Here is a 25,672-nt window from a genome sequence, read left to right as displayed (position 1 = left end):
TTAAGTCCATGGGGTCGAAGTTAAGGACCCCTGCTTAAATAAAGTGAGATGGGCTTACTAGGTTTCAGGTACCAGCGACAGACACTAGGGCATCAGAGGTATGTCAAAGCCCAAAGCTAGGAAAACAGCACAGAGCGGAGAGGAGAAGAAGACGGGGTTTCTCTTAGCCTTCCCCTGACACCAGTGGAAAAGGAACTTAGTGATTGGAATGTTCTCTCCACATCCCAGCTCCAGGATTCCCTGGACCATATTTGGGAATTCAGTGGCAGCTCAGTAAACATAACCTAAAAATTGGGGAAGGTATGCTTCCTAGCTGAGGCAGGGATTGTGAAATGCAACAACTTGCTGGGCATGGTGGCACAAGCCTGTAGTCCCACCTACTCAGGAGGCTGAGGTAGGAAGATCAATTAAGGCTGCAATGCATGGGAGTAACCATGCACTTCAGCCTGGGCAATAAAGAAAGACCCCCATCTCTAAAAGAAAAAGAAATAATTCCTTTAACCATCATGCCAAGTAATGGACACCAGCTGCTGCCTGCAGCAGCCCCAGCTCTGACTGTGAAGAGGTTGCCTGCAGGAATGTATGCTCCTTGCTCTTACTTAACCCCCTTTTCAACCCACCAAAGGATGTACCATTTCCAATACATACGCATGTTGACAAGTCTGCGGTATGTAACTGGTGGGTGCCTATCTTTATTGTCTGCTAAACCTTGAAATATAAAAAATCAAATGAATTTTCATCTCTCCTGGGAAAGACTCCTTGATGTACTTAAAAAGTTATAATGGCCGGGCACAGCGGCTCACGCCTGTAATCCCAGCACTTTGAGAGGCCAAGGTGGGCGGATCACAAGGTTTGGAGTTTGAGACCAGCCTGTCCAGTATGGTAAAACCCTGTCTCTACTAAAAATACACACACACACACACACACACACACACACACACACACACACACAAATTAGCCGGGTGTGGTAGTGCATGCCTGTAATCCCAGCTACTCGGGATGCTGAGGCAGGAGAATCACTTGAACCCGGGAGGCGGAGGTTGTGGTGAGCCAAGATAGCGCCATTGCACTCCAGCCTGGGCAACAAGAGCAAAACTCCATCTCAAAAAAAAAAAAAAAAAAAGTTATAATGATGGTTGGACAATTCAGATTTTTAAGTCATAAGTACTTCTTTATGATCACTGTGGAAAACAATGACCCATATATCTAATCTGGGTGTGTTTAATATTAAAGGTTCTCAAAAGGTATGTACCACTCTAATTTTCTAAAAGCTGTTAATCCAGTTAGCCCTTAGCCCTTTGCCTGGTAGTAGGTCACTTTAAAACTGAAATCACACTTATGCTCTCATTCAAATATTGTAACCAAGAATAAGCAGCAAGAATTTGGTATGTCAGGACAAAGTATACAGATGGTCCCCACCTTTCGATGGTTCAACTTATAATTTCTTGACTTTACAATGCTGCAAAAGTGACATGCATTTGGTAGCAACTGTACTGAGTGCCCATATAACCATTCTGTTTTTCACTTTCAGTGAAGTATTCATGAATTACATGAGGTATTTTGATACTTTATTGTAAAAGATGCTGTTAGATGATTTTGCCCAAATTTGGCTAATGTAAGTATTGTGAGCACGTTTAAGGTAGGTTAGGCTAAGCTACAATGTTTGGTAGGTACATTAAATGCATTTTTGACTTACAGTATTTTCGACTTACAATGAGTTTATCAGCACATAACCCCTTCATAAGCTGAGGAGCATCTGTATATACTAAGCTTTTAATTATGTTTCTGAATGTACAAATCTGCAATATATATGGATTTCATACACTAATGTGATCTTTCAAGTCCTTAAGTACAGTATATACAAATATTATAATTAATCACGATCTAAATTGATAGTTTGGATTCTACCTGCATACAAATTATGGCCAGGAAGGGAAGCATGGGTCATGCACAATCAGCTATCAGAGTGGAACTCGGCAGCTCACCACAGCACCCAATTCTTTTACTTTATTTATATGTGGTGCCTTTTCTTCAGATTAAATCCAACTTTCCTCCCCTGGCCTCTTATTGTTACACTGCAGACACCAACCTTATTTCTTCTGGCATAAAATCTTGTGGCTGCCTGAACATAACATTGTAAATGTTATGTATAGCAAAGTATTGGAAAATTCAATGAAAAGGATCACTTAAAAAGTCATGTAATAGAGAAATCTTGCTTTTTAAACTTTAAGCCTAATTACTTAGCTCAGCAGTGACTTGGCAGAGATCCAAAAGATTCTTCAGCTCTTCCCTGCTTCTCTGAGGCAAGTTTCCAGTAACCCCTGCCTTCCCCCATTAATACATATGTATCCAAAGTGCAAAAAGAAGGAATTTGTTAAAAAAAAAAAAAAAATCAGACTCTACTTTCCCATTGCAATGTTAAGTATATACATAAAACATTTCTACCAGCTTTCACTTTTTAGATGGGCTACTTTTTCAGCTGAGTGGTAGGACACCAAAATGGGAAGGAGAAGTCAATGTCATAGAGTATAAATAGCTGTGGCCAAAAACAATATTGCAGAAGAGCCAACAGGAGAAAGGCTCCCCAAAATGCAGCAGGAGTGACTTAATTCCACGTCTTCATAGAGACCTCAGGGAAAACCACTATCAAGAAACAAAAGAAGGGTGGAAGCAACCAGCACTCACATATGGTCTTACAGTGTTTTCTTGGGTTTCTGAAACACATACACATATATTTAAAGTCTCAGATAGTATGGCAATGAAAAGGAAACTGTTCTTTATGTATGTCATATAGAAAACGTTACCCAATAGGAACACGGTCTTTTCTTAGATATGCTGAAAACCACTCATGAATACCTAGGCGGATTTTTAGTTATACTTAACTTACTTGAGATAGAATTTGCAATTACATTACACGGCAAATCTAAATCTAAACCTCACCTTAAACGTTGGAATGTGTTCCTATCATGATTCATTACACACAATCCAAAGGACCAGTAATTTCCCACCACACTAGTTAAAACGTTTTAGATCAGTGGGCTAAATTGCATGGGGCACACAATTCACTTTCTAAATGTTTGCTAGACACTTCAAGATTGTCCTCAAGTGTTCGAAGTCAGTAAGTTTACCAATATTCTGTAGCGGAACACACACACGCACTCGTTAGGCATCAGCAGCATTTACAAAACGCAGGCAATCATAAAGTTATATAAGAAAAGCAGTCTCGCCTCTGAGGAATTAGTTCAGGCATACAAGAATCCAGGAAATCGCATATCCTCCATGCGAGGCTGGGTCACAAGAACTAGGTAAAGAAACAAAGCAAAGTGCACTGGGAAACGAGGGCAGTAACAGCTGAAAAGATGCAGGCAACGCCACCAGCGGCATCTTCAAGCATTCCTTCTGAAGGGGAGTGTTTCTATGTTGTTTCTAATGAGCCACTGCTGACCTGAGTAACGGTACAAGCTGAAACCAACACAACCAGAAACGAAATCCACCATGTGGTAGACGAGACTAGGGGAGCAGCACGAATGGTCCACAGGCTAGGGGTCCAGAAGCTGTCATACCATGGGACTCGCGCACACCCTGGAGCTGCCACCTGCTTTCTATTTCCTCGGGGAGGGCCGGTGACGCGTGAACCCGAGAGGCACCAAAGGCAGGAATCCTGAAATCTGTGATTTCTAAACCCCGAGCTAAAAAAAGGTCCGTAGGGCCCGTCTCCCGCAGCTGGGCGACTCTTCCCCACGCGGCGCGCGGCCCGCGAGGTGGAAGGGTGAGAACTTCTAGGGGGCCAAACGAGGACCAGGAGACAAGTGGGGAGCGGGAAGTGCCTGCCTGGTCCGAATGCAGGGAGTCCGAGGTCGCGGTGCCACCTCCCTGTGAGGGTAGGCTGGGGGCGGGGCCGCGCGGAGCCCAACAGCCAGGGGCCAAGCAGGGTAATCCCCCCGGGGCGAGGGCGGGCACGGGAGAAGAGGGACGCCCCGGCCGCTACCTGCTGCTGGATTTTCCCGTCCTCCGTGACGACCCAGTGCGTGGTGGCGAAGGCCCCTCGTGCCGCCACACTCAGCAAGGCGGAAAGGCTGAGGAGCCAGCCTGGGCCGGAGCAAGGCGGCAGCTCGTACCGGCCACGAACCCCTACTGCCGCCGCCATCTTGCCCCCCCGGCCGGGCCGCTCACACCGGAAGCGGAAGCTAGTCTCCGGCGCCCGCCATCTTGAAGAGGTCGGCCCTGGAGGAGGAGCAGGAGGAGGAGCCGAGAGGGCGTAGCTCGCTGACTACCAAGTTTCCTCCACCTCGGTTTTGGCGGCCAGGAAGCGCGACCTTCGGCTACTCTCCCAGCTTGGCTTCAGGGATGGAGACCGCTTTTTAGTTATTGTTTTTCTGTGGGTGATACGATCTCGGAGCGTGGGAACCGGAGGGAGACAAAAGCAGTGGCTTAGGTGGCGCTTAAGCAGAAGTGAAAGGACTCAATTTTATTGTTTTTTAAATCTTTGTTTTTTCGTTTTATTTCTGGTAGATAGTTGGGGAACAAAAGGTGTGCTTTCGAACCACCTATGGGAAGAGAGGTGTTGCTTTTATTCTTAAAGTCTCACAATAGTGGAAGCTTCAGAATGGAGACGGTTGTTAGTTTAGGGCACCGCTGTCCAGTAGCACTATAATGCGAGCCACGTGTGGAATGTAAAATATAGAGGGAAGTAACCCTACTAGTACATTTTATTTAACTCAAAGTACACAAAATATTAATTCAATGTGGTCTGTACAAATCATTGAGATAGTTTAGTTTTTTTTTTTTTAACTAAGTCTTGGAAATCGGCATGTTACACTGACAGCTTATCTAGTCATATTTCAGGGGCTTAATACCCGCATGTGGCTAACGTACTGGTCAGCACAGGTCTAAGCTAGAGGTCTAGGTCTGGAGACCAGAAACATTGGCATCACCTGGGAGCTTTTTAGACCTGCACATTCTCGGCTCTTCTCCCTCTCCCCCGCAACCTGCTGAATCAGACTACATTTTAACAATAGCCTCAGGTGACTGGTATACATATTAAAGTTTGAGAACCACTTTCTTCTAGTGAACCAACAGGCAGGCAGGCAGGCGTCAAGCTTGGCTGCCAGCTTCTTGCTAGATATGTCATTTTAGGTCTTTCAAGATTGCCCTCTGTGTGTGTTATTTAAGGTTGGTATGCTTTTGGTTTTCTCCTTGGGAAAAGAAGGATGAGAATATTGTTTAACCACTTCTCTACACAAGTGTATGCAGGAGAGCAGTTGCTAAGTGTTTAAACACCACGCTATAGAAATGTAGAAACAACCACAGCATTGGTGTTTTTTTTTTCTTCATTCCAGGAACAGCTTTTCTTAAAGGCCTGAAGACTGAACATTCATTTCATTAAAAATATATGGCTTATTTGCTTTTTGCCTGGTACTCTGATAGTCTCTGGGTATGGAAATGTAACCATTGGGCAGTGTGCAATATAGTGAGATATTATTGGCAGGTTAACAATTAAAATACAGGATAATGGGGGTGTATGAATGCATATGTACAGGAGAGAGCAACCAACCAGGTGAAAAAAAGGTTTGGAGCTCAGGTGCTGGTTCAGGCAGAATAATAAGTGAAAAGGTGAAGTTGGCCGGGCGCGGTGGCTCACGCCTGTAATCCCAGCACTTTGGGAGGCCGAGGTGGATGGATCACTGAGGTCAGGAGTTCAAGACTGGCCTGGCCAAGATGGTGAAACCCCGCCTCTACTAAAAATACAAAAATCAGCCGGGCATGGTGGCGGGCACCTGTAATTCCAGCTACTTGGGAGGCTGAGGCAGAGAATTGCTTGAACACGGGAGGCGGGGATTGCAGTGAGCCGAGATCACACCACTGCACTCCAGCCTAAGTGACAGAGCGAGAATCCGTCTCAAGAAACGAAAAGGTGAAGTCAGTGGCATGTTTTAAGAGTTTCTTGGAGTTTAGACATAGGCAATAGGGAGTGTTTCAGAATTTTAAAATAGAGAAGTGGCAAATGATGGAATCCCTTTTGTCTCAGCATCTTATTTTTGGGGCATAGAGGTCAACCCTATTTCTTGTGTATAAAGCTGACATCATCATCATCTAACATTTCTTGAGTGTTTAATACGTACTGGGTCCTGTACATGCATAGTTCCTATTAATCGTCACAACTTACCAAGCTCTGGCTAGTTAAGTAAGTTGGCCAAGATCATATTGCTAAGTGGTAGAGCTCAGGTTTGGACTCAGATCCACCTGACTCTAGATCTGAGAGCCTGAGAATGAATGAATGTTAGTGAGGAATTTGAGAAAGGCCCCAGCATCACATATTTTGCTATCAGCAATTTCTTTGACCTTCACAAGTTAACCTCTAAAGGGGTGGAATTATAGCTTCTATAGCTTTATTATACCACCTATTTTCTGTAGATGATAACTCTTATCTTTTGGGATCCTGTATTAGTTTTCTAATGCTGTGTAACAATTGCCACAAACTTAGCTTAACACATTATCTGACAGTTTCCTTGGGGCAAAAGTCTTCTGCTGTGGTGTGACTGAGTTCTCTGCTCAGTGTCACAAGGCTCATATCAAGGCTGCAATCTCATCTGAGGCTTGGGGTTCCTCAGTCAAGCTCATTCTTCAAGTCCTTGGCAGAATTCAATTTATTGCCAATGTAGGACTGAGGGCTCCATTTTCTTACTGGCTGCTGATTGTGGCCATTAACATTGAGGCTACCCACAGTTTTCTGCCATGTGGCTCTCACAATGGCAGTTATTCCTTGAAGGCAAGCAGAATATTTCCACTGCTGAAATCTCTTGAATTCCTCTATCTCTAAGCCTAGACTTAAAGGGCTCATGTGAGTTGATAAGGTCTATCTGAATAATATCCCTTTTTATTCAACTGATTAGTAACTTTAATGCCATCTGCAAAAATTTCGTTTGCCATATAACATTATCTTAGTCCATTTTGTGTTGTTATAACAGAATACCTAAAGCTGGGCAATTCATAAAGAAAAGAGGTTTAATTGGCTTATGATTCTGGTGGCTGAAAAGTCCAAGATTGGGCAGCCGCATCTGGTAAGGGCCTCACGCTGCTTCCACTTAGGGAGGAAAGCAGAAGGGGAGTGGGTGTGCATAGAGATCACATGTTGAGAGAAGCAGCAAGAGAGACAAATCAAGAAAGCCAAACTCTTTTAACAACCCACACTCGAGAACTAATTCATTCCTGAGAGAGCAAGAACTCACCTCCCCCCCCACCACCGTGAGGGCATTAATCTGTTCATGACAGATCCACCCCCATGACCCAGAAACCTTCCACTAGGCCCCATCTCCCAACACTGCCACATTGGGTACCAAATTTCAACATGAGTTTTGGCGGCCCTAACCACATCCAAACCTATGATCACAGGAGTGATATCGTATTCATGTTTTACCCACATAGTCAAGTTAGGAAATTTCCCCCTTTTCTACTCTATTAAGGTGAAATGGACAAAATTGTATATATTTAGTGTACAACATGATGTTTTAATATACGTAGGGGAGATTTTATGCGGGCAAGGACCATTGGGTATCATCTTAGAATTTTGCCTACCACAGATCTTGACTGCCAAGTACCATTCTTCTAGTCTTTCACTGAACTGTTTTAAGTATCACAGACTAATTTAGACATACTTTTGCTCCTGTTCCCTGCCTAAAATCCTTTCCTCATGCTGCTTTCTCAAATCTATTTAAGATACAGTTGAAATCCTAGCCTGCAAAAATGTCTGTCAACTTGTTTGCCACCTCTGAATTCTGTCAGTAATATGACAATACTATGCTGCTTTGTGATATTATTTTATAAACTTTGAACAGCCAAACTCTTGAGTGGTTCTTGCAATAGTTCTTAGTTCTAATCTGGTGAGGCAGAACACTCAAACAGTAAGTCAGGCAAAGCAAATTTTTTACAAATAGGCAGCAAAGATACACAGAAATGGAGGATCCATGGTTAGCTGATCCCATGGCTCAGGAAAGCTGCTTAGGGCAGATGGAGCCTCATCTGCACATACCCCATGTTGCAGCACAGATGAGGGACTCCAAAAACACTTTGGGTTTTATACCCTGGGTGTAACTGAGATTGCTGAGTACAAGTGTTGCAGAACATCCTGTTTTAGGAAAAATGAGGACGCAGCCCAGGTTGTTCTGGAAGCTTCCTCCTTATCTCAGGATGTTGCATTCTCAGTACATTCTGCCTGAAAATTGCAAGCAAGAGGGGGAAGAGCTGGCATGGCCAAGGCCATCCAGGGACCTGTCATCTTGCAATTCTATAATTACCTACACTAGCAACTGAGGGCAGGAAGCATTTCCTATACTAACATTTTTATCTTCCTTGGAACTTCTGTGCAAAATAGTTTGTTGACTCAGTTTTTTAGCTCCCCCAAATGTAGCATTCCCATTTTGTGTGAATAAAACAAAAAACTTAAATAAAATTGTTCCTACTAATTTTCTACATCCAGATCACTTGTCACCGTTCTTTTATTCTGTTGTTCTAAGATCTGATGTTTCTTTTTTCATTATACTTTTCCTCTTCGATGAAATTTATAGAAATACAGGATGGCAGTTGACAAAATTGCTGATATCTCAAATTGTGATTCAATTGTTAGTTCAACGAATGATAGGCAAGTCCCTAACTGCATGTAATTTAGTCTTTCAACATATTTTAGCAAATAGGTCTTTTATTTACTATTACTATAAATCATAGAATTCTTGAAGTTATGAATTAGAATTCATTCTGTTGATAGAATGAATGATCTTTCTGGATTAACGTCCTCCCTTGGGCCACCTTACCTGAAAATTGCAAAGGATTTACATACTGCCTATTCCTTAGAGAAAATATTTAAGATATAAATACCCCTAGGGAGGAGGGTAACACTCTGGCTTACATTCTGTTATCTTTTGCTTTGTAATAAAACCAATGTAAGTCTTAGAGGTTTAAATTTTAAGCCTTAAAACATGATTTATTATTTTTCAGTTTGTTGGACTCAGCTGGGTGGTTCTTCTGCTACTCCTGGTGTTGGCTGGGGTCACTCTTAAGGCTGCATTCAGCTAGGAGCTCAGCTGAGGCTGAAATGTTCCAAACTGGCTCCACCATGTCTGGTGCTTTACTTGGAGTGGTTGAAATGGCTGGGGGTAGCTGGGCCTCTCTTAGACAAGGAGTTACATAGACTTCTTACAGGGTGGCTCAGGGTGCTGAAAGAATAAAAGGAAGCTGCCAGGCTTTCAGAGGGTCAGGCCCCAGAAGTGGTAAAGCATCATTCTGCATTCTCCTGGTTAAGGAAAGTAACAAGCTTAGCCCAAATTCAAGTGTGGATGGACACAGATTTATCTTGATAGGAGAAACAGCATGTTTGAGTAGGAATGGAAGGAATTATTGGCATCCTACTATATATAATTCTTTTTTTTTTTTTTTGAGCTGGAGTCTTGCTTTATTGGCAGGCTGGAGTGCAGTGGCACAATCTCGGCTCACTGCAACCTCCGCCTCCCAGATTCAAGCAATTCTACCTCAGCCTCCCTAGTAGCTGGGACTACAAGTGTACGCCACCACGCCCGGCTAAATTTTGTATTTTTAGTAGAGACGGGGTTTCACCATGTTGGTCAGGATGGTCTCGATCTCTTGACCTTGTGATCCACCCACCTCGGCCTCCCAAAGTGCTGGGACTACAGGGGGTGAGCCACTGCGCCTGGCCATAATTAAGTCTTTAAGAGTAATTTTGAGTTGGTTGGAAGCAGGGTGGAGGGGAACAGGTTGGAAAGGAGCCTGGTTATAGCAAGAAGGGTTTTACATGTGTAACTCTTCAACATCAATATGCACGGTGAGCGAAGAGGATTTTTAAAAGGGAGGCAGAGGATACCTAATATAGTAATTTCATTTAGAAATCATTTGTCAAATAGATCAGGCAGTGTGAAGTATGAGGGCTACCATGGATGAGACCAAGGATTCAAACTCAGAGGGCTGCTCTGAGGATAGCAAGATAGTCATCTTAGGTTTTTATTGGTATGTTAATTTCATATTAGTTTAAGCTTTAGTTTCAATCACACTGATTACAATGATCTCTCTCCTGCTGTTTTTTACCCACCTACTGAGGAAGCACATAATAGGTAGTCCTGTAACCAACTGGAGAGGAAAGGTGTCCCAAGGAGGGTCAAATTTACTCAGACCTGAAGCAGCCAGATAAATGGGCAGAATCAAGGAACCATGATTTTCCAGAGGAAAAATTCCTAATGTCAGAAAGAGTATGGTGTTAACTTTCAGTTTACTGAAAGCAGTTCACTATTGTAGTAGAGGATGAACTTAGGACTTCTGAGGTCAAGGTTAGGAATCTAAGACCTCCGAGATAGCCCATTCTCTAACACAGCTTGGCACATTCTTAAAAGCTAAGTGTCCTACACATTTTGTTGCCTCGATCTCAGTGCTCTTCCTTGAGGTCTTCACGAGGCTGGCTTGGTATCATTATCCAGGTCTCACCTCCAATTAGTCACTCAGAGGCTTTTTTCTGACTATTTTATCTATACTAGCTGAAGCATATTAGAATGCTTCAGTACCCTTATAGCACTTACTACTCTGGTACAGGCTTAAGTTTGTCAGGATCTGCATAAGAGAATGTAAACTCCATGAGTTTGCCTGTTTTGTTCACCACTATATCCCCTAGGCTTAAAACAGTGCCTTCAACTTATTATGAGTTGAAAGCTTACTATGTACAAAACACTGTTCTGGATGCTTGGGATTATGAATGAACAACATGCAAAAATCTTTACTTTTGTGGCACTTTAGCCACATATTCTAGCAGTAGGGGACAGAGTAAACAACATACAAGTTGGTAAAACTGGAGAGCATATAGTAGGGTAAGTGGGTCTGGAGTCTTGGTGGGGTGGAAAGGGACATTGCAGTATTAGATAGGATTGAGTAGGTTAGCTTCGAGGATTTGAAAAAGGAGTTAGATGTGTGGATATAAGGAATACTGATGGGGGAGGAGCCAAGATGGCCGAATAGGAACAGCTCCGGTCTACAGCTCCCAGCGTGAGCGACGCAGAAGACGGGTGATTTCTGCATTTCCATCTGAGGTACCGGGTTCATCTCACTAGGGAGTGCCAGACAGTGGGCGCAGGCCAGTGGGTGCACGCACCGTGCGCGAGCCGAAGCAGGGCGAGGCATTGCCTCACCTGGGAAGCGCAAGGGGTCAGGGAGTTCCCTTTCCGAGTCAAAGAAAGGGGTGACGGACGCACCTGGAAAATCGGGTCACTCCCACCCGAATATTGCGCTTTTCAGACCGGCTTAAAAAACGGCGCACCACGGGACTATATCCCACACCTGGCTCGGAGGGTCCTACGCCCACGGAGTCTCGCTGATTGCTAGCACAGCAGTCTGAGATCAAACTGCAAGGCGGCAGCGAGGCTGGGGGAGGGGCGCCCGCCATTGCCCAGGCTTGCTTAGGTAAACGAAGCAGCCGGGAAGCTCAGAACTGGGTGGAGCCCACCACAGCTCAAGGAGGCCTGCCTGCCTCTGTAGGCTCCACCTCTGGGGGCAGGGCACAGACAAACAAAAAGACAGCAGTAACCTCTGCAGACTTAAATGTCCCTGTCTGACAGCTTTGAAGAGAGCAGTGGTTCTCCCAGCACGCAGCTGGAGATCTGAGAACGGGCAGACTGCCTCCTCAAGTGGGTCCCTGACCCCTGACCCCCGAGCAGCCTAACTCGGAGGCACCCCCCAGCAGGGGCACACTGACACCTCACACTGCAGGGTATTCCAACAGACCTGCAGCTGAGGGTCCTGTCTGTTAGAAGGAAAACTAACAAACAGAAAGGACATCCACACCGAAAACCCATCTGTACATCACCATCATCAAAGACCAAAAGTAGATAAAACCACAAAGATGGGGAAAAAACAGAACAGAAAAACTGGAAACTCTAAAACGCAGAGCGCCTCTCCTCCTCCAAAGGAAGGCAGTTCCTCACCAGCAACGGAAAAAAGCTGGATGGAGAATGATTTTGACGAGCTGAGAGAAGAAGGCTTCAGACGATCAAATTACTCTGAGCTACGGGAGGACATTCAAACCAAAGGCAAAGAAGTTGAAAACTTTGAAAAAAATTTAGAAGAATGTATAACTAGAATAACGAATACAGAGAAGTGCTTAAAGGAGCTGATGGAGCTGAAAACCAAGGCTCGAGAACTACATGAAGAATGCAGAAGCCTCAGGAGACGATGCGATCAACTGGAAGAAAGGGTATCAGCAATGGAAGATGAAATGAATGAAATGAAGCGAGAAGGGAAGTTTAGAGAAAAAAGAATAAAAAGAAATGAGCAAACCCTCCAAGAAATATGGGACTATGTGAAAAGACCAAATCTATGTCTGATTGGTGTACCTGAAAGTGATGCGGAGAATGGAACCAAGTTGGAAAACACTCTGCAGGATATTATCCAGGAGAACTTCCCCAATCTAGCAAGGCAGGCCAAGGTTCAGATTCCGGAAATACAGAGAACGCCATAAAGATACTCCTCGAGAAGAGCAACTCCAAGACACATAATTGTCAGATTCACCAAAGTTGAAATGAAGGAAAAAATGTTAAGGGCAGTCAGAGAGAAAGGTCGGGTTACCCTCAAAGGGAAGCCCATCAGACTAACAGCGGATCTCTCGGCAGAAACCCTACAAGCCAGAAGAGAGTGGGGGCCAATATTCAACATTCTTAAAGAAAAGAATTTTCAACCCAGAATTTCATATCCAGCCAAACTAAGCTTCATAAGTGAAGGAGAAATAAAATACTTTACAGACAAGCAAATGCTGAGAGATTTTGTCACCACCAAGCCTGCCCTAAAAGAGCTCCTGAAGGAAGCGCTAAACATGGAAAGGAACAACCGGTACCAGCCGCTGCAAAATCATGCCAAAATGTAAAGACCATCGAGACTAGGAAGAAACTGCATCAACTAACGAGCAAAATCACCAGCTAACATCATAATGACAGGATCAAATTCACACATAACAATATTAACTTTAAATGTAAATGGACTAAATTCTCCAATTAAAAGACACAGACTGGCAAGTTGGATAAAGAGTCAAGACCCATCAGTGTGCTGTATTCAGGAAACCCATCTCACGTGCAGAGACACACATGGGCTCAAAATAAAAGGATGGAGGAAGATCTACCAAGCAAATGGAAAACTAAAAAAGGCAGGGGTTGCAATCCTAGTCTCTGATAAAACAGACTTTAAACCAACAAAGATCAAAAGAGAAAAAGAAGGCCATTACATAATGGTAAAGGGATCAATTCAACAAGAGGAGCTAACTATCCTAAATATATATGCACCCAATACAGGAGCACCCAGATTCATAAAGCAAGTCCTGAGTGACCTACAAAGAGACTTAGACTCCCACACATTAATAATGGGAGACTTTAACACCCCACTGTCAACATTAGACAGATCAACGAGACAGAAAGTCAACAAGGATACCCAGGAATTGAACTCAGCTCTGCACCAAGCGGACCTAATAGACATCTACAGAACTCTCCACCCCAAATCAACAGAATATACATTTTTTTCAGCACCACACCACACCTATTCCAAAATTGACCACATAGTTCGAAGTAAAGCTCTCCTCAGCAAATGTAAAAGAACAGAAATTATAACAAACTATCTCTCAGACCACAGTGCAATCAAACTAGAACTCAGGATTAAGAATCTCACTCAAAGCCGCTCAACTACATGGAAACTGAACAACCTGCTCCTGAATGACTACTGGGTACATAACGAAATGAAGGCAGAAATAAAGATGTTCTTTGAAACCAACGAGAACAAAGGCACAACATACCAGAATCTCTGGGACGCATTCAAAGCAGTGTGTAGAGGGAAATTTATAGCACTAAATGCCCACAAGAGAAAGCAGGAAAGATCCAAAATTGACACCCTAACATCACAATTAAAAGAACTAGAAAAGCAAGAGCAAACACATTCAAAAGCTAGCAGAAGGCAAGAAATAACTAAAATCAGAGCAGAACTGAAGGAAATAGAGACACAAAAAACCCTTCAAAAAATCAATGAATCCAGGAGCTGGTTTTTTGAAAGGATCAACAAAATTGATAGACCGCTAGCAAGACTAATAAAGAAAAAAAGAGAGAAGAATCAAATAGACACAATAAAAAATGATAAAGGGGATATCACCACTGATCCCACAGAAATACAAACTACCATCAGAGAATACTACAAACACCTCTACGCAAATAAACTAGAAAATCTAGAAGAAATGGATACATTCCTCGACACATACACTCTCCCAAGACTAAACCAGGAAGAAGTTGAATCTCTGAATAGACCAATAACAGGAGCTGAAATTGTGGCAATAATCAATAGCTTACCAACCAAAAAGAGTCCAGGACCAGATGGATTCACAGCCGAATTCTAGCAGAGGTACAAGGAGGAACTGGTACCATTCCTTCTGAAACTATTCCAATCAATAGAAAAAGAGGGAATCCTCCCTAACTCATTTTATGAGGCCAGCATCATTCTGATACCAAAGCCGGGCAGAGACACAACCAAAAAAGAGAATTTTAGACCAATATCCTTGATGAACATTGATGCAAAAATCCTCAATAAAATACTGGCAAACCGAATCCAGCAGCACATCAAAAAGCTTATCCACCATGATCAAGTGGGCTTCATCCCTGGGATGCAAGGCTGGTTCAATATACGCAAATCAATAAATGTAATCCAGCATATAAACAGAGCCAAAGACAAAAACCACATGATTATCTCAATAGATGCAGAAAAAGCCTTTGACAAAATTCAACAACCCTTCATGCTAAAAACTCTCAATAAATTAGGTATTGATGGGACGTATTTCAAAATAATAAGAGCTATCTATGAGAAACCCACAGCCAATATCATACTGAATGGGCAAAAACTGGAAGCATTCCCTTTGAAAACTGGCACAAGACAGGGATGCCCTCTCTCACCGCTCCTATTCAACATAGTGTTGGAAGTTCTGGCCAGGGCAATCAGGCAGGAGAAGGAAATAAAGGGTATTCAATTAGGAAAAGAGGAAGTCAAATTGTCCCTATTTGCAGATGACATGATTGTTTATCTAGAAAACCCCATCATCTCAGCCCAAAATCTCCTTAAGCTGATAAGCAACTTCAGCAAAGTCTCAGGATACAAAATCAATGTACAAAAATCACAAGCATTCTTATACACCAACAACAGACAAACAGAGAGCCAAATCATGAGTGAACTCCCATTCACAATTGCTTCAAAGAGAATAAAATACCCAGGAATCCAACTTACAAGGGTTGTGAAGGACCTCTTCAAGGAGAACTACAAACCACTGCTCAAGGAAATAAAAGAGGATACAAACAAATGGAAGAACATTCCATGCTCATGGGTAGGAAGAATCAATATCGTGAAAATGGCCATACTGCCCAAGGTAATTTACAGATTCAATGCCATCCCCATCAAGCTACCAATGACTTTCTTCACAGAATTGGAAAAAACTACTTTAAAGTTCATATGGAACCAAAAAAGAGCCCGCATCGCCAAGTCAATCCTAAGCCAAAAGAACAAAGCTGGAGGCATCACACTACCTGACTTCAAACTATACTACAAGGCTACAGTAACCAAAACAGCATGGTACTGGTACCAAAACAGAGATATAGATCAATGGAACAGAACAGAGCCCTCAGAAATAACGCCGCATACCTACAACTATCTGATCTTTGACAAACCTGAGAAAAACAAGCAATGGGGAAAGGATTCCCTATTTAATAAATGGTGCTGGGAAAACTGGCTAGGCATATGTAGAAAGCTGAAACTGGATCCCTTCCTTACACCTTATACAAAAATCAATTCAAGATGGATTAAAGATTTAAACGTTAGACCTAAAACCATAAAAACCCTAGAAGAAAACCTAGGCATTACCATTCAGGACATAGGCGTGGGCAAGGACTTCATGTCCAAAACACCAAAAGCAATGGCAACAAAAGCCGAAATTGACAAATGGGATCTAATTAAACTAAAGAGCTTCTGCACAGCAAAAGAAACTACCATCAGAGTGAACAGGCAACCTACAACATGGGAGAAAATTTTCACAACCTACTCATCTGACAAAGGGCTAATATCCAGAATCTACAATGAACTCAAACAAATTTACAGGAAAAAAACAAACAACCCCATCAAAAAGTGGGCGAAGGACATGAACAGACACTTCTCAAAAGAAGACATTTATGCAGCCAAAAAACACATGAAAAAATGCTCATCATCACTGGTCATCAGAGAAATGCAAATCAAAACCACTATGAGATATCATCTCACACCAGTTAGAATGGCAATCATTAAAAAGTCAGGAAACAACAGGTGCTGGAGAGGATGTGGAGAAATAGGAACACTTTTACACTGTTGGTGGGACTGTAAACTAGTTCAACCATTGTGGAAGTCAGTGTGGCGATTCCTCAGGGATCTAGAACTAGAAATACCATTTGACCCAGCCATCCCATTACTGGGTATATACCCAAAGGACTATAAATCATGCTGCTATAAAGACACATGCACACGTATGTTTATTGCGGCATTATTCACGATAGCAAAGACTTGGAACCAACCCAAATGTCCAACAATGATAGACTGGATTAAGAAAATGTGGCACATATACACCATGGAATACTATGCAGCCATAAAAAATGATGAGTTCATATCCTTTGTAGGGACATGGATGAAATTGGAAATCATCATTCTCAGTAAAATTATCACCAAACACCGTATATTCTCACTCATAGGTGGGAATTGAACAATGAGATCACCTGGACACATGAAGGGGAATACCACACTCTGGGGACTGTGGTGGGGTGGGGGGAGGGGGGAAGGATAGCATTGGGAGATATACCTAAGGCTAGATGACGAGTTAGTGGGTGCAGCGCACCAGCATGGCACATGTATACATATGTAACCTGCACAATGTGCACATGTACCCTAAAACTTAAAGTATAAAAAAAAAACAAAAAAAAAACCAATAATGTGTCAGACATGATACAAGATGATTTAAATAAAAGACCTCTTTAAATATAAAAAAAAAAAAAATAAAATAAATAAATAAATAAATAAAGGAATACTGACAAGAGGGGGTAGCTAGCTAACGCAAGGGCTGTAAGGCAGGAGGATGTCTTTGGCCTGCATGAGGCTAACTGGCTGCAGCAGAGTGATCAAGGGGAGGGGAAGAATAGCAGCTGAGGTCACAATTAAAAGCCATGGTAATGTTTTTGGTTACTATTCTGAAACGGGGAGCCAGTGAACAATTTCTGGCAGAAAAGTAGATGTCTCTTTGCTGCTGGGTTTCAAGCAGATTGTAGAGTTAGGTGTAACGGCAGGGAGATCAATTAGGAGGTTATTACGAAACTCTAGGCAAGAAATAATGGGGAAAGAAATTTGGCATTCCTTAGCATATAGATAGTATTTAAAGCCATAGGCCTGGAAGGCCGGGAATGGTGGCTTATGCCTGTAATCCCAGCACTTCGGGAGGCCGAGGCTGGTGGATCACCTGAGGTCTGGAGTTCGAGACCAGCCTCGCCAACATGGTGAAGCCCCGTCTCTACTAAAAATACAAAAAATTAGCTGGGCGTGGTGGCGGACACTTATAATCCCAGCTACTCGGGAGGTTGAGGCAGGAGAATCGCTTGAACCTGGGAGGCAGAGGTTGCGGTGAGCCAAGATCACACCACTGCACTCCAGCCTGGGCAACAAGAGCGAAACTCTGTCTCAAAAACAAAACAAACAAACAAAAAAAACGCTATAGGCCTAGATGTGATCACCAAGGGAATTTAGTTATCTTATCCTGATCCACTTAAACCCCAGCTTTCAAACACTCACAACCAACCTTAGTGCTACTTCAGGAATATTTTCATAAAGGCTGGCAGTTAAATTACTAAGTTCCAACTTGCTTTGCACATTATCTGAAGATAGAAATGATTTACTTAATGATGATTTGGCAATTATCTGATGTTTTGCTTTAATAAAAAAAAACCAAATCCTTTTTTTCAGATTAGCTCCTAAAAATAAATTCAAATAAAAACTTTCAAGGATCAAAATTAAAGATGATTTACAAAATTATATCAACACTGAACTCCTCATGGGCCGGGGGCGGTGGCTCACGCCTATAATCCCAGCACTTTGGGAGGCCAAGGCGGGTGGATCACGTGGTCAGGAGATTGAGACCATCCTGGCTAACACGGTGAAATCCTGTCTCTACTAAAAATACAAAAAATTAGCTGGGCGTGGTGGCGGGCGCCTGTAGTCCCAGCTACTCAGGAGACTGAGGCAGGAGAATGGCATGAACCTGGGAGGCGGAGCTTGCAGTGAGCCGAGATTGTACCACTGCACTCCAGCCTGGGAGACAGGGCGAGACTCCGTCTCAAAAAAAAAAAAAAAAAAAAAAAAGACTGAACTCCTTGAAGGCAGAGAGCAGTTCTTGTCCATCTTTATATTTTCAGCCTATTGGCACAGTAGAAGCAATCAATAAATGTTAATAACTATCCAAGAATCTGAAGTTACCATAATTATAACACATCAAGACACAAAACAAAATTACAAAAGGAAATTTATTTCAAAAGCATAAGGGGACATTTACATTTAAACAAGATGATAAACAGGTGTCTTGCAAAAGAAAAAAATCCATGGCATTAAGTTTTTCATTCAAATTCGGAAGCAAAAATAACCTAAGTTGTGCACTATTGCCTTAGGAAAGGGAAGGGGAAGGGTGAGGGATAAGGGAACAGTCAACTCAGTATCAAACTTGAGAAAGTAAAGTCACTTCTGCTCAGTTCTGAGTTTACAAATATGCTTATAAAGACAAAAAGTGGTAAAATTATATTTAATGTTCAAATTTATTTAGCTGTAGTCTCTATAATTTCTGTACTTGAAATGGCTTTGGGCCACTGGCTGATCTATCTCTGAGGTCCAGATTAGCTGGTCAGTTTTCAAATGGCAATTTTATATTCCTTTGTTCAGATTCCAAGGGAGTTTAGGTTCAGCTCATGGTCTTTTGGAATGTTTAGAGATTATTGCCACCACTCCATAGCCAAGCTGACCAACTTTTGCTCACTTGTATCATTCTAGCCTTTCAGAACTATTTTCCCCATACACATGTGCAGTAATTCTAATAAAGGAGTTTTGCTTCTTCTGCAGTGTAGAGGTAATGGTAATGAAGACACCTGCATTGGAATCACAAACTATTCCTCAGAAAAATACATCAGACTACTAGAAATGTCATTCAGGCAGTTGATTTGAATAGCAAACTTGGGGAGGGAAGATTAACTGTGAAACAAAAATATACGAAACATTCAAATGCAGAACAAAGGGTCTATCCTACTAAAAATGCCCATGACATTAAACACTCCACAAACCCCCCATCTGTTGTTTTAACCTAAAAATTCTATTGGCTAACTTATACAATAATTTTGATTAATAACCTGAGAAGTTAAAATCTTGAAAGTGGCAAAAGCAAACCGAGAGAGCATCCCTTACTTATTGGTACCATGTTATCAAGTCACTTTTTCTGGGTAGCCCTGGTTATTAAATCTCCAAATTGTAAATTATACCATCTCTTCCTGTAGAAACCTGTATGTACATCAGATTCAGTATTTTGGTTGTTATTTCACCAACAGCAATTCCAATTTATCTTTGAAAATGCAGCCTTTATTCTTAGTTTTAAATAACAATAATCATGTAAGTGCAACTAACTTAGAATCCCTTGCTACTGGGAGTAAAAACCTAAATAACAAGTTAATAACGGATTCAGCCTCAAAAGGATAATCACCGTGTCAGACTACCCGTTCCTGGAATTTAAAAAGTGATTTATGTTGTGTAGTCAAGTTTCACAGCATGCATATATATATATATACACACACACACACACATATATGCTTATGTATGTATGTATATTATACATACACATTTCTATTCAAATAGTAAGATTCCATATTCAAAAGTTTGTATCACAATATATGGAAAAGAATTAAGTAGGCGGTGCAAAGCAACTTACTTTCTCCTAAAAATGTAATGTCATTCCTATATTTTAAGAAAGCTATGTAAGTATTTTGCTTTTATGACACTAGGTAGGAATGCTGCACCACTGCCCAGCAGCTTTATTAAACAATTAAAACAAAATGTTAAGATTGACCATTACTCTTCTCCATATATTGGGTAAAAAACTAAGAGGGAAGAGGAAAATCAGTAACCTTTCAAAACTGATGATCTTTATCAGCAGAACTAGACTGAATTTCATTACATTTTAGAATGAACAGCTCTCAACAACAAATTATCAAGATGTTTAAAAGATTCACAATTTGAAGTCTGAATAATGATACTGCAAAAACAAGTCAAGATTGCAGACAAAGCATCCAAAAATATCACTGTGGTTTTACCTTGGACACAACCATGGTCTGTTACAAAAGTAGGTCATACATACAAAGGTATAAAGAACATTAAGTTTTTAGCTGAAGGCAGCAGTCTGTTTAAAGGGACATCCCCGGCAATCCAATGAGTAGTAGAATTTAAGTATATTAAGCTCATGACAATGCTGAAGAATGCTGATGTCTTATTCAGTAGAGTCTTCCCCGACTACGATTTCCTCGTGTGCCCCAACCTCGGCCACCTCTACTTCCCCTGAAGGCTCCTCTCTGCTCTACGAAAAAGCGAACAAGGGTTTAGGTCTTGCTTAGGATTTCATGGTGCAGCAAACGCAGAAGAAACGTAGCTCATAACTCTGAATACAGCAGTAGGCCCTATAAGAACAGAACTAATATTCTGCTATTCAATCTACAAATTTAGCCTGTACATAAAACAAGAACAACATATATACTGAAGCACGTAAGGCAAGGTACCGACTACATTCATGGTAGTTGCTTAATTAAATGTATCCCAGTAACAAAGTTGTTTCAAGGTGATGTTACGATAACTACACTTTTTTTGGAGGGTCTTGCTGTGTTGCTCAGGCTGGAGTGCAGTGGTGCGTTCACAGTTCACCATAACATTGAACTTCTGGACTAGAGTGATCTTTCTGCCTCAGACTCCCCAGTAGCTAGGGCTACAGATGCACACCACCATGTTTGGCTATTTTTTTTTTTTGTAGAGACAGGTCCTCATTTTGTTGCCAGGCTGATCTCAAACTGCAGGCCTCAAGGGATCGTCCTGCCTCAGTGCTGGGACTACAGGTGTGAGCCACTGTGCCCAGCCCGTACACTTTTTAAAAAACTTAATTCTTCAAATTCACGAATAATAATTCTACATATTCGTGGGGTAGAATACTTTGATACAAAGAATGTACAGTTATCAGCTCAGGGTAACAAGCATATCCATCATCTCAAACACCTATAATTTCTTTGTGTTGGGAACATTCAATATTCTTCTATTTTAAAGTATATATTAACTATAGTCATGCTATAGTGGTACACAACACTAGGGCTTATTCCTATGTTATTTTGCATCCTCCCACAAATCTCTCCCTATCCCTTCCTTCCCCCTATCTTCTCAGCCTCTAGTATGCGCTGTCCTAATTTTTACTTCTATAAGATTAACTTTTTAAAACTTCCACATGAGTGAGAACATGCATTGTTTAATTTTCCATTGCTGGCTTATTTCACCTACTATAAAGTCCTCCAGTTCCTTCCATGTTGCTGCAAATGAAAGGACATTCTTTTTTTATGGCTGAATAGTATCCCATTGTGTATAATACCACATCTTGTTTAGCCATTCACCTGTTGATGCACCTGTTGATTCTGGGTTGATTCCATGTCTTGGCTAATGAATAGTGCTACAATAAACATGGGGGTGCCAATGTCTGACTTTTAATCATATGTAAATGAGATAAAATCTCTTCCCTGAACTTCCAACTTACTCATTGTGGTTTTGATGTGCATTACCCTGATGCTTAGTGTTTAGAATTTTTTCATACATTTATTGGCCATTTGTACGTCTTCTTTTGAGAAATGTCTGTTCAGATGATTTGCCCATTTTTAATCTAGATTTGTTTTGCTATTAAGATGTTTGAATATCTTCTATATTCTGAATATTAATCCTCTGTTGCATGAGTAGTTTACAAATATTTTCTCCCATTCTGTAAGCTGTCTTTTCACTGTTGATGGTTTCCTCTGCTGCACAGAAGCTTTTTAATTTGATATGATCCCATGTTTTTGTTGCCTGTGCTTTTAGGTCTCAGTCATAAAATCTTTTCCCAGACCAATGTCCTGAAGTGCTTCTTGTTTTCTCTTATGGTAGTTTTATTGTTTTAGGTCTTACATTTAGGTCTTTCATCCATTTTGAGTTGGTTTTTGTACAGGGTGGGAGGTGCGGATCTAGTTTCATTCTTCTGCATATGGATACCCAGTTTTCTCAGCACCATTTATTGAAGAGACTGTCCCTTTTTTTTTTGTCCCTCCAATGAGTATTCTTGCCACCTTTGTAAAAAATCAGTTGGCTGTAGATACGTGGATTAATTTCTGGTTCTCTGTTCTGTTCCATTGCTCTGTATCTATTTTTATGCCAGTATCAGGCTGTTTTGGTTACTACATTTTTGATTTATATTTTGAGATCTGGTAGTGTGATAACTCCAGCTTTGTTCTTTTTGCTCAGTATTGCTTTGGCTATTTGGGGTCTTGTGGTTCCATATAAATTTTAAGAATTTTTTTTGGTGGCAATTTCTGTGAAGAATGTCAGTTATTTTGATAGAAGTTGTATTGAATCTGGAGATCACTTTGGGTAGCATGGTCATTTAAAATATATTAATTCCTCTAATCCATGAGTACGGAGTGTCTTTCAATTTGTTTGTATCTCCTTCAATTTCTTTCATCAGTGTTTTGTAGTTTTCCTTGTATAGAAATATTTTACCTTCTTGGTTAATTTATTCCTAGATTTTTTTCACAGCTATTATAAATGGGGTTACCTTGATTTCTTTTTCAGCTAGTTCACTGTTCATGCATAGAAATGCTACTGATTTTTGTATACTAATTTTGTATCTTCTAACTTTTCTAAATTTATCAGTTCTATGAGTTTTTTGGTAGAGTCTTTAGTTTTGTTTTTATATATATAACATCATGTCATCTGCATAGAGAACAATTTGACTTCTCCATTCTAGTTTGGATGCCCTTTATTTCTTTCTCTTATCTACCTGCTCTGGCTATGACTTTCATGACAACTTCTTAGTTCTTTATTTATTGTCTATCATTACTAAAGGTAACTCATATAACTATGAAAAATATCTTAAATTATCAATAATCAATTTCGAAAATCAGGTTAGACTACAAAATGTCCCTTTGAATGCAATAAATATGCAATTTTTGTTTTGATCACAGTATTTCACGCAACTGGACTCACACAAATGTAGATCTAAAGGCTGAGTTTTTTTCACTGCTTTATCAGCTACATAAGCTTCTCAGAATACTGCCAAATAGGTGCTATGTGTGTATGTGCGTCTGAGTGTGTTTCAGCTACTGATATAAACTAAGCATATCTTTTGCTGAAAAATCAAGTCACTTGTGATGTACAGAACAAGAGTCTCTCATCCATTGGTCAGTCACTTTTATAGCCACAGAGAAATGGTCCTCAAAGGTGTCGTCCCATGAAGAAAACTGATCGAAGTTATCACAAGGCTGGACTTTTAATCATATGTAAATGAGATCAAATCTCTTCATTAACTTCTAAACTTCCTCATTATAGCAATCTTGTTAGCAACAATAGAGAGAGCTTGGTTTTGCTGTTTTTGATCCACAATCTTGGAGGCTTGAAAAATACCTTTTCAGTCAATTTTGCAATCAATTTTTTTGCCATTATGTCTTACTAGGGTGATGTCTTGATGTCTTTTTTGACCCCCCTTTCTGCAGAAAGAAAAGTAATTCAATTCTGAGACAGGAAACTCACTGGACCTTTCCCCAGTTTGGCTAATATTTATCTGTATAATAGAATGGGTCTGATTCAAAGTCACCTTCTTATGCCATGACACATTTTTTTACAAGCTGATTAGTATGCAAACCATTTGAAAATGAAATCATTGTGTTTATTATCCTAGTGAACACATTCAGAAAATCAGAGGTGGTTTCTCTGAGGGCAAGATGCTCCCAGAGACAGATGCAGTAACTATGGGAGCATTAAGGTAGTGCAGTAGCCTTTTGTGGGCCATGACTTCTGCATTTTTGACTGTTTAGACTTAGAGCCATCTATGCAGATGCCTGCACATTTCACCCTATCATACTCATTATTCACACCAACACACTTAACACTGTCATAGATACTATTATTAGCTTTAAGCTAAAAGACTATTACAATCCACTCTTTCAATTTTAATATGAATTCAGGTTACACTCTATTCAGCTGTACCTAATGAGGAAATTAAATACACTGTATGAAGGTACTATTTGACGTAGTTATCTTTTCTATATTGGCAAATGCTTTTTTTTTTTTTTTTTTTTTACCTCCAATTGATACAGCCATTTCTATAGTACAGAGATTCACCAAATTTTCTTCTTTTTGAAGAGCTTCATCCTAAAAAATACTCTGCATTTTCATGATCTTTTCAATAGTTTCAAGCTTACATTTTTTTTTTAATTCACTGCTCCCAGTTTAAATTAAACTTTAAGGATTATTTTTATATTCCAAAAAGTAAAGAACACAAGTCACAAAATGTAGAACATTTAGTACTTTTAGGTTACTGGGGAAACTTTGTGCACTGGAAGGAAAACTAAACGTGGGTATATGTTTATGAATGCACCGGGAAGTTGAACTAATTTGTGAGAACCAATACCATGTTTGTAAAGCAAAAAACAGAGACATTGGTTAGTAAAGCAATAAACTTGGATACTGAGAACTGCTTTTGTTTCAACAGGTGAAATAAAGTCAAGCAAATGCTTCAAATTTTGTTGTGAGAATACCTATGACCTGATCACATTAAATTCTCAAATGTAAAATAATTGCAGAAATTCACTCTTCTTTCTAATAAGAAGAATCAGATTTTAGTTTGCTTTTGCATGTTTACTTTGCTTTGCCCTTCTGTTATTTTGAAGACTGGGAATAACTGAAGTTGTGACTCGTGGATGTTTGTCTTGAGTAAAACTTTGCTTATGTTTCTCATGTTGACAGTTTTTTTGTGTCTTTTTAAAAAACACTGTATACAATCTAAAGTGTTAGATTTTTCACATTCTTTTTCCACATGCATTATATCACCTGATTCTCACTATTGAGCAGGCAATGAGTTTTACACAATAGAATCTTCATGTAAAATCAAATTGACTTGTCCAATAAAAAGGAGTACAATTCTTGTATTGCCATAGCTATTGATTACTTTCATTAAAGCCATTCTCCCAGTATCTGAGATAACTTTTGATTTTAAGAATGGTACTGTTAGACACATTAAATCATACAAGTGACAGAGAACAACATGTGATTCAACCAAGTAACGGAGAATCCTTTCCCCTTACAAAATACTTTCACAAATATTGTTATTAGAAGGCTGTAAGAGCTCTTACCTCATTTTTCAGATAAGAGGCAAGGAGATGCACATTTACATACTGTTATGTAAATAAGAGAGTTCAGTGATCATCCTTAAAGTAAAGGTGTCTCAGAGTCTGGAGGGGAAGGGTTCATTTCAGTCTAAAATTGGCTTTCTATATAATCTGTTTGTTCAGACATTAGA

At 40.7% G+C, this 25,672-nt stretch overlaps 2 protein-coding genes across 17 annotated transcripts in view, besides 3 other annotated features; both read right to left on the bottom strand.

Moving 5' to 3' along the window:
• Positions 1-4,182, bottom strand: part of TTC17 (tetratricopeptide repeat domain 17) — a 136,012-nt gene extending 131,830 nt beyond the window's left edge. For all 11 annotated transcript variants that reach the window (NR_164823.1, NR_164824.1, NM_001376525.1 and 8 more), the window contains exon 1: positions 3,989-4,182. Coding sequence is in view for 9 of the 11 variants with exons in the window: in NM_001376525.1 (NP_001363454.1) it covers positions 3,989-4,147 (159 nt within the window). In the remaining 2 variants the exon portion in view is untranslated. The remainder of the gene's footprint in view (positions 1-3,988) is intronic.
• Positions 3,844-3,923: a silencer, noted in NCBI's record as "silent region_3267". NCBI's record gives its function as "represses an Ori minimal core promoter by ATAC-STARR-seq in GM12878 lymphoblastoid cells {active_cell/tissue: GM12878}" and the evidence as "EXISTENCE:reporter gene assay evidence [ECO:0000049][PMID:35858748]".
• Positions 4,054-4,323: an enhancer, noted in NCBI's record as "active region_4640". NCBI's record gives its function as "activates an Ori minimal core promoter by ATAC-STARR-seq in GM12878 lymphoblastoid cells {active_cell/tissue: GM12878}" and the evidence as "EXISTENCE:reporter gene assay evidence [ECO:0000049][PMID:35858748]".
• Positions 11,318-11,981: an enhancer, noted in NCBI's record as "H3K27ac-H3K4me1 hESC enhancer chr11:43372671-43373334 (GRCh37/hg19 assembly coordinates)". NCBI's record gives its function as "activates a minimal SCP1, AML or CMV promoter by ChIP-STARR-seq in naive H9 embryonic stem cells {active_cell/tissue: H9 hESC(naive)}" and the evidence as "EXISTENCE:reporter gene assay evidence [ECO:0000049][PMID:30033119]".
• Positions 18,573-25,672, bottom strand: part of API5 (apoptosis inhibitor 5) — a 32,534-nt gene continuing 25,434 nt past the window's right edge. For 3 of the 6 annotated variants that reach the window (NM_006595.4, NM_001243747.2, NM_001142931.2), the window contains one exon: positions 18,573-20,669. In NM_006595.4, the coding sequence (NP_006586.1) occupies positions 20,647-20,669 (23 nt within the window). In that variant the 3' untranslated portion in view covers positions 18,573-20,646. Of the gene's footprint in view, positions 23,862-25,672 lie in introns of all 6 variants that reach the window. The other 3 variants (NR_024625.2, NM_001142930.2, XM_006718359.5) reach the window with 2 other exon arrangements.

The sequence above is a fragment of the Homo sapiens genome, chromosome 11, assembly GCF_000001405.40.
Source record: "Homo sapiens chromosome 11, GRCh38.p14 Primary Assembly".
In the NCBI taxonomy this organism is placed as follows: Eukaryota; Metazoa; Chordata; class Mammalia; order Primates; family Hominidae; genus Homo; species Homo sapiens.
Note: the sequence above shows the minus strand (reverse complement) of the source record. Positions and strands in the feature narration are given on the sequence as shown.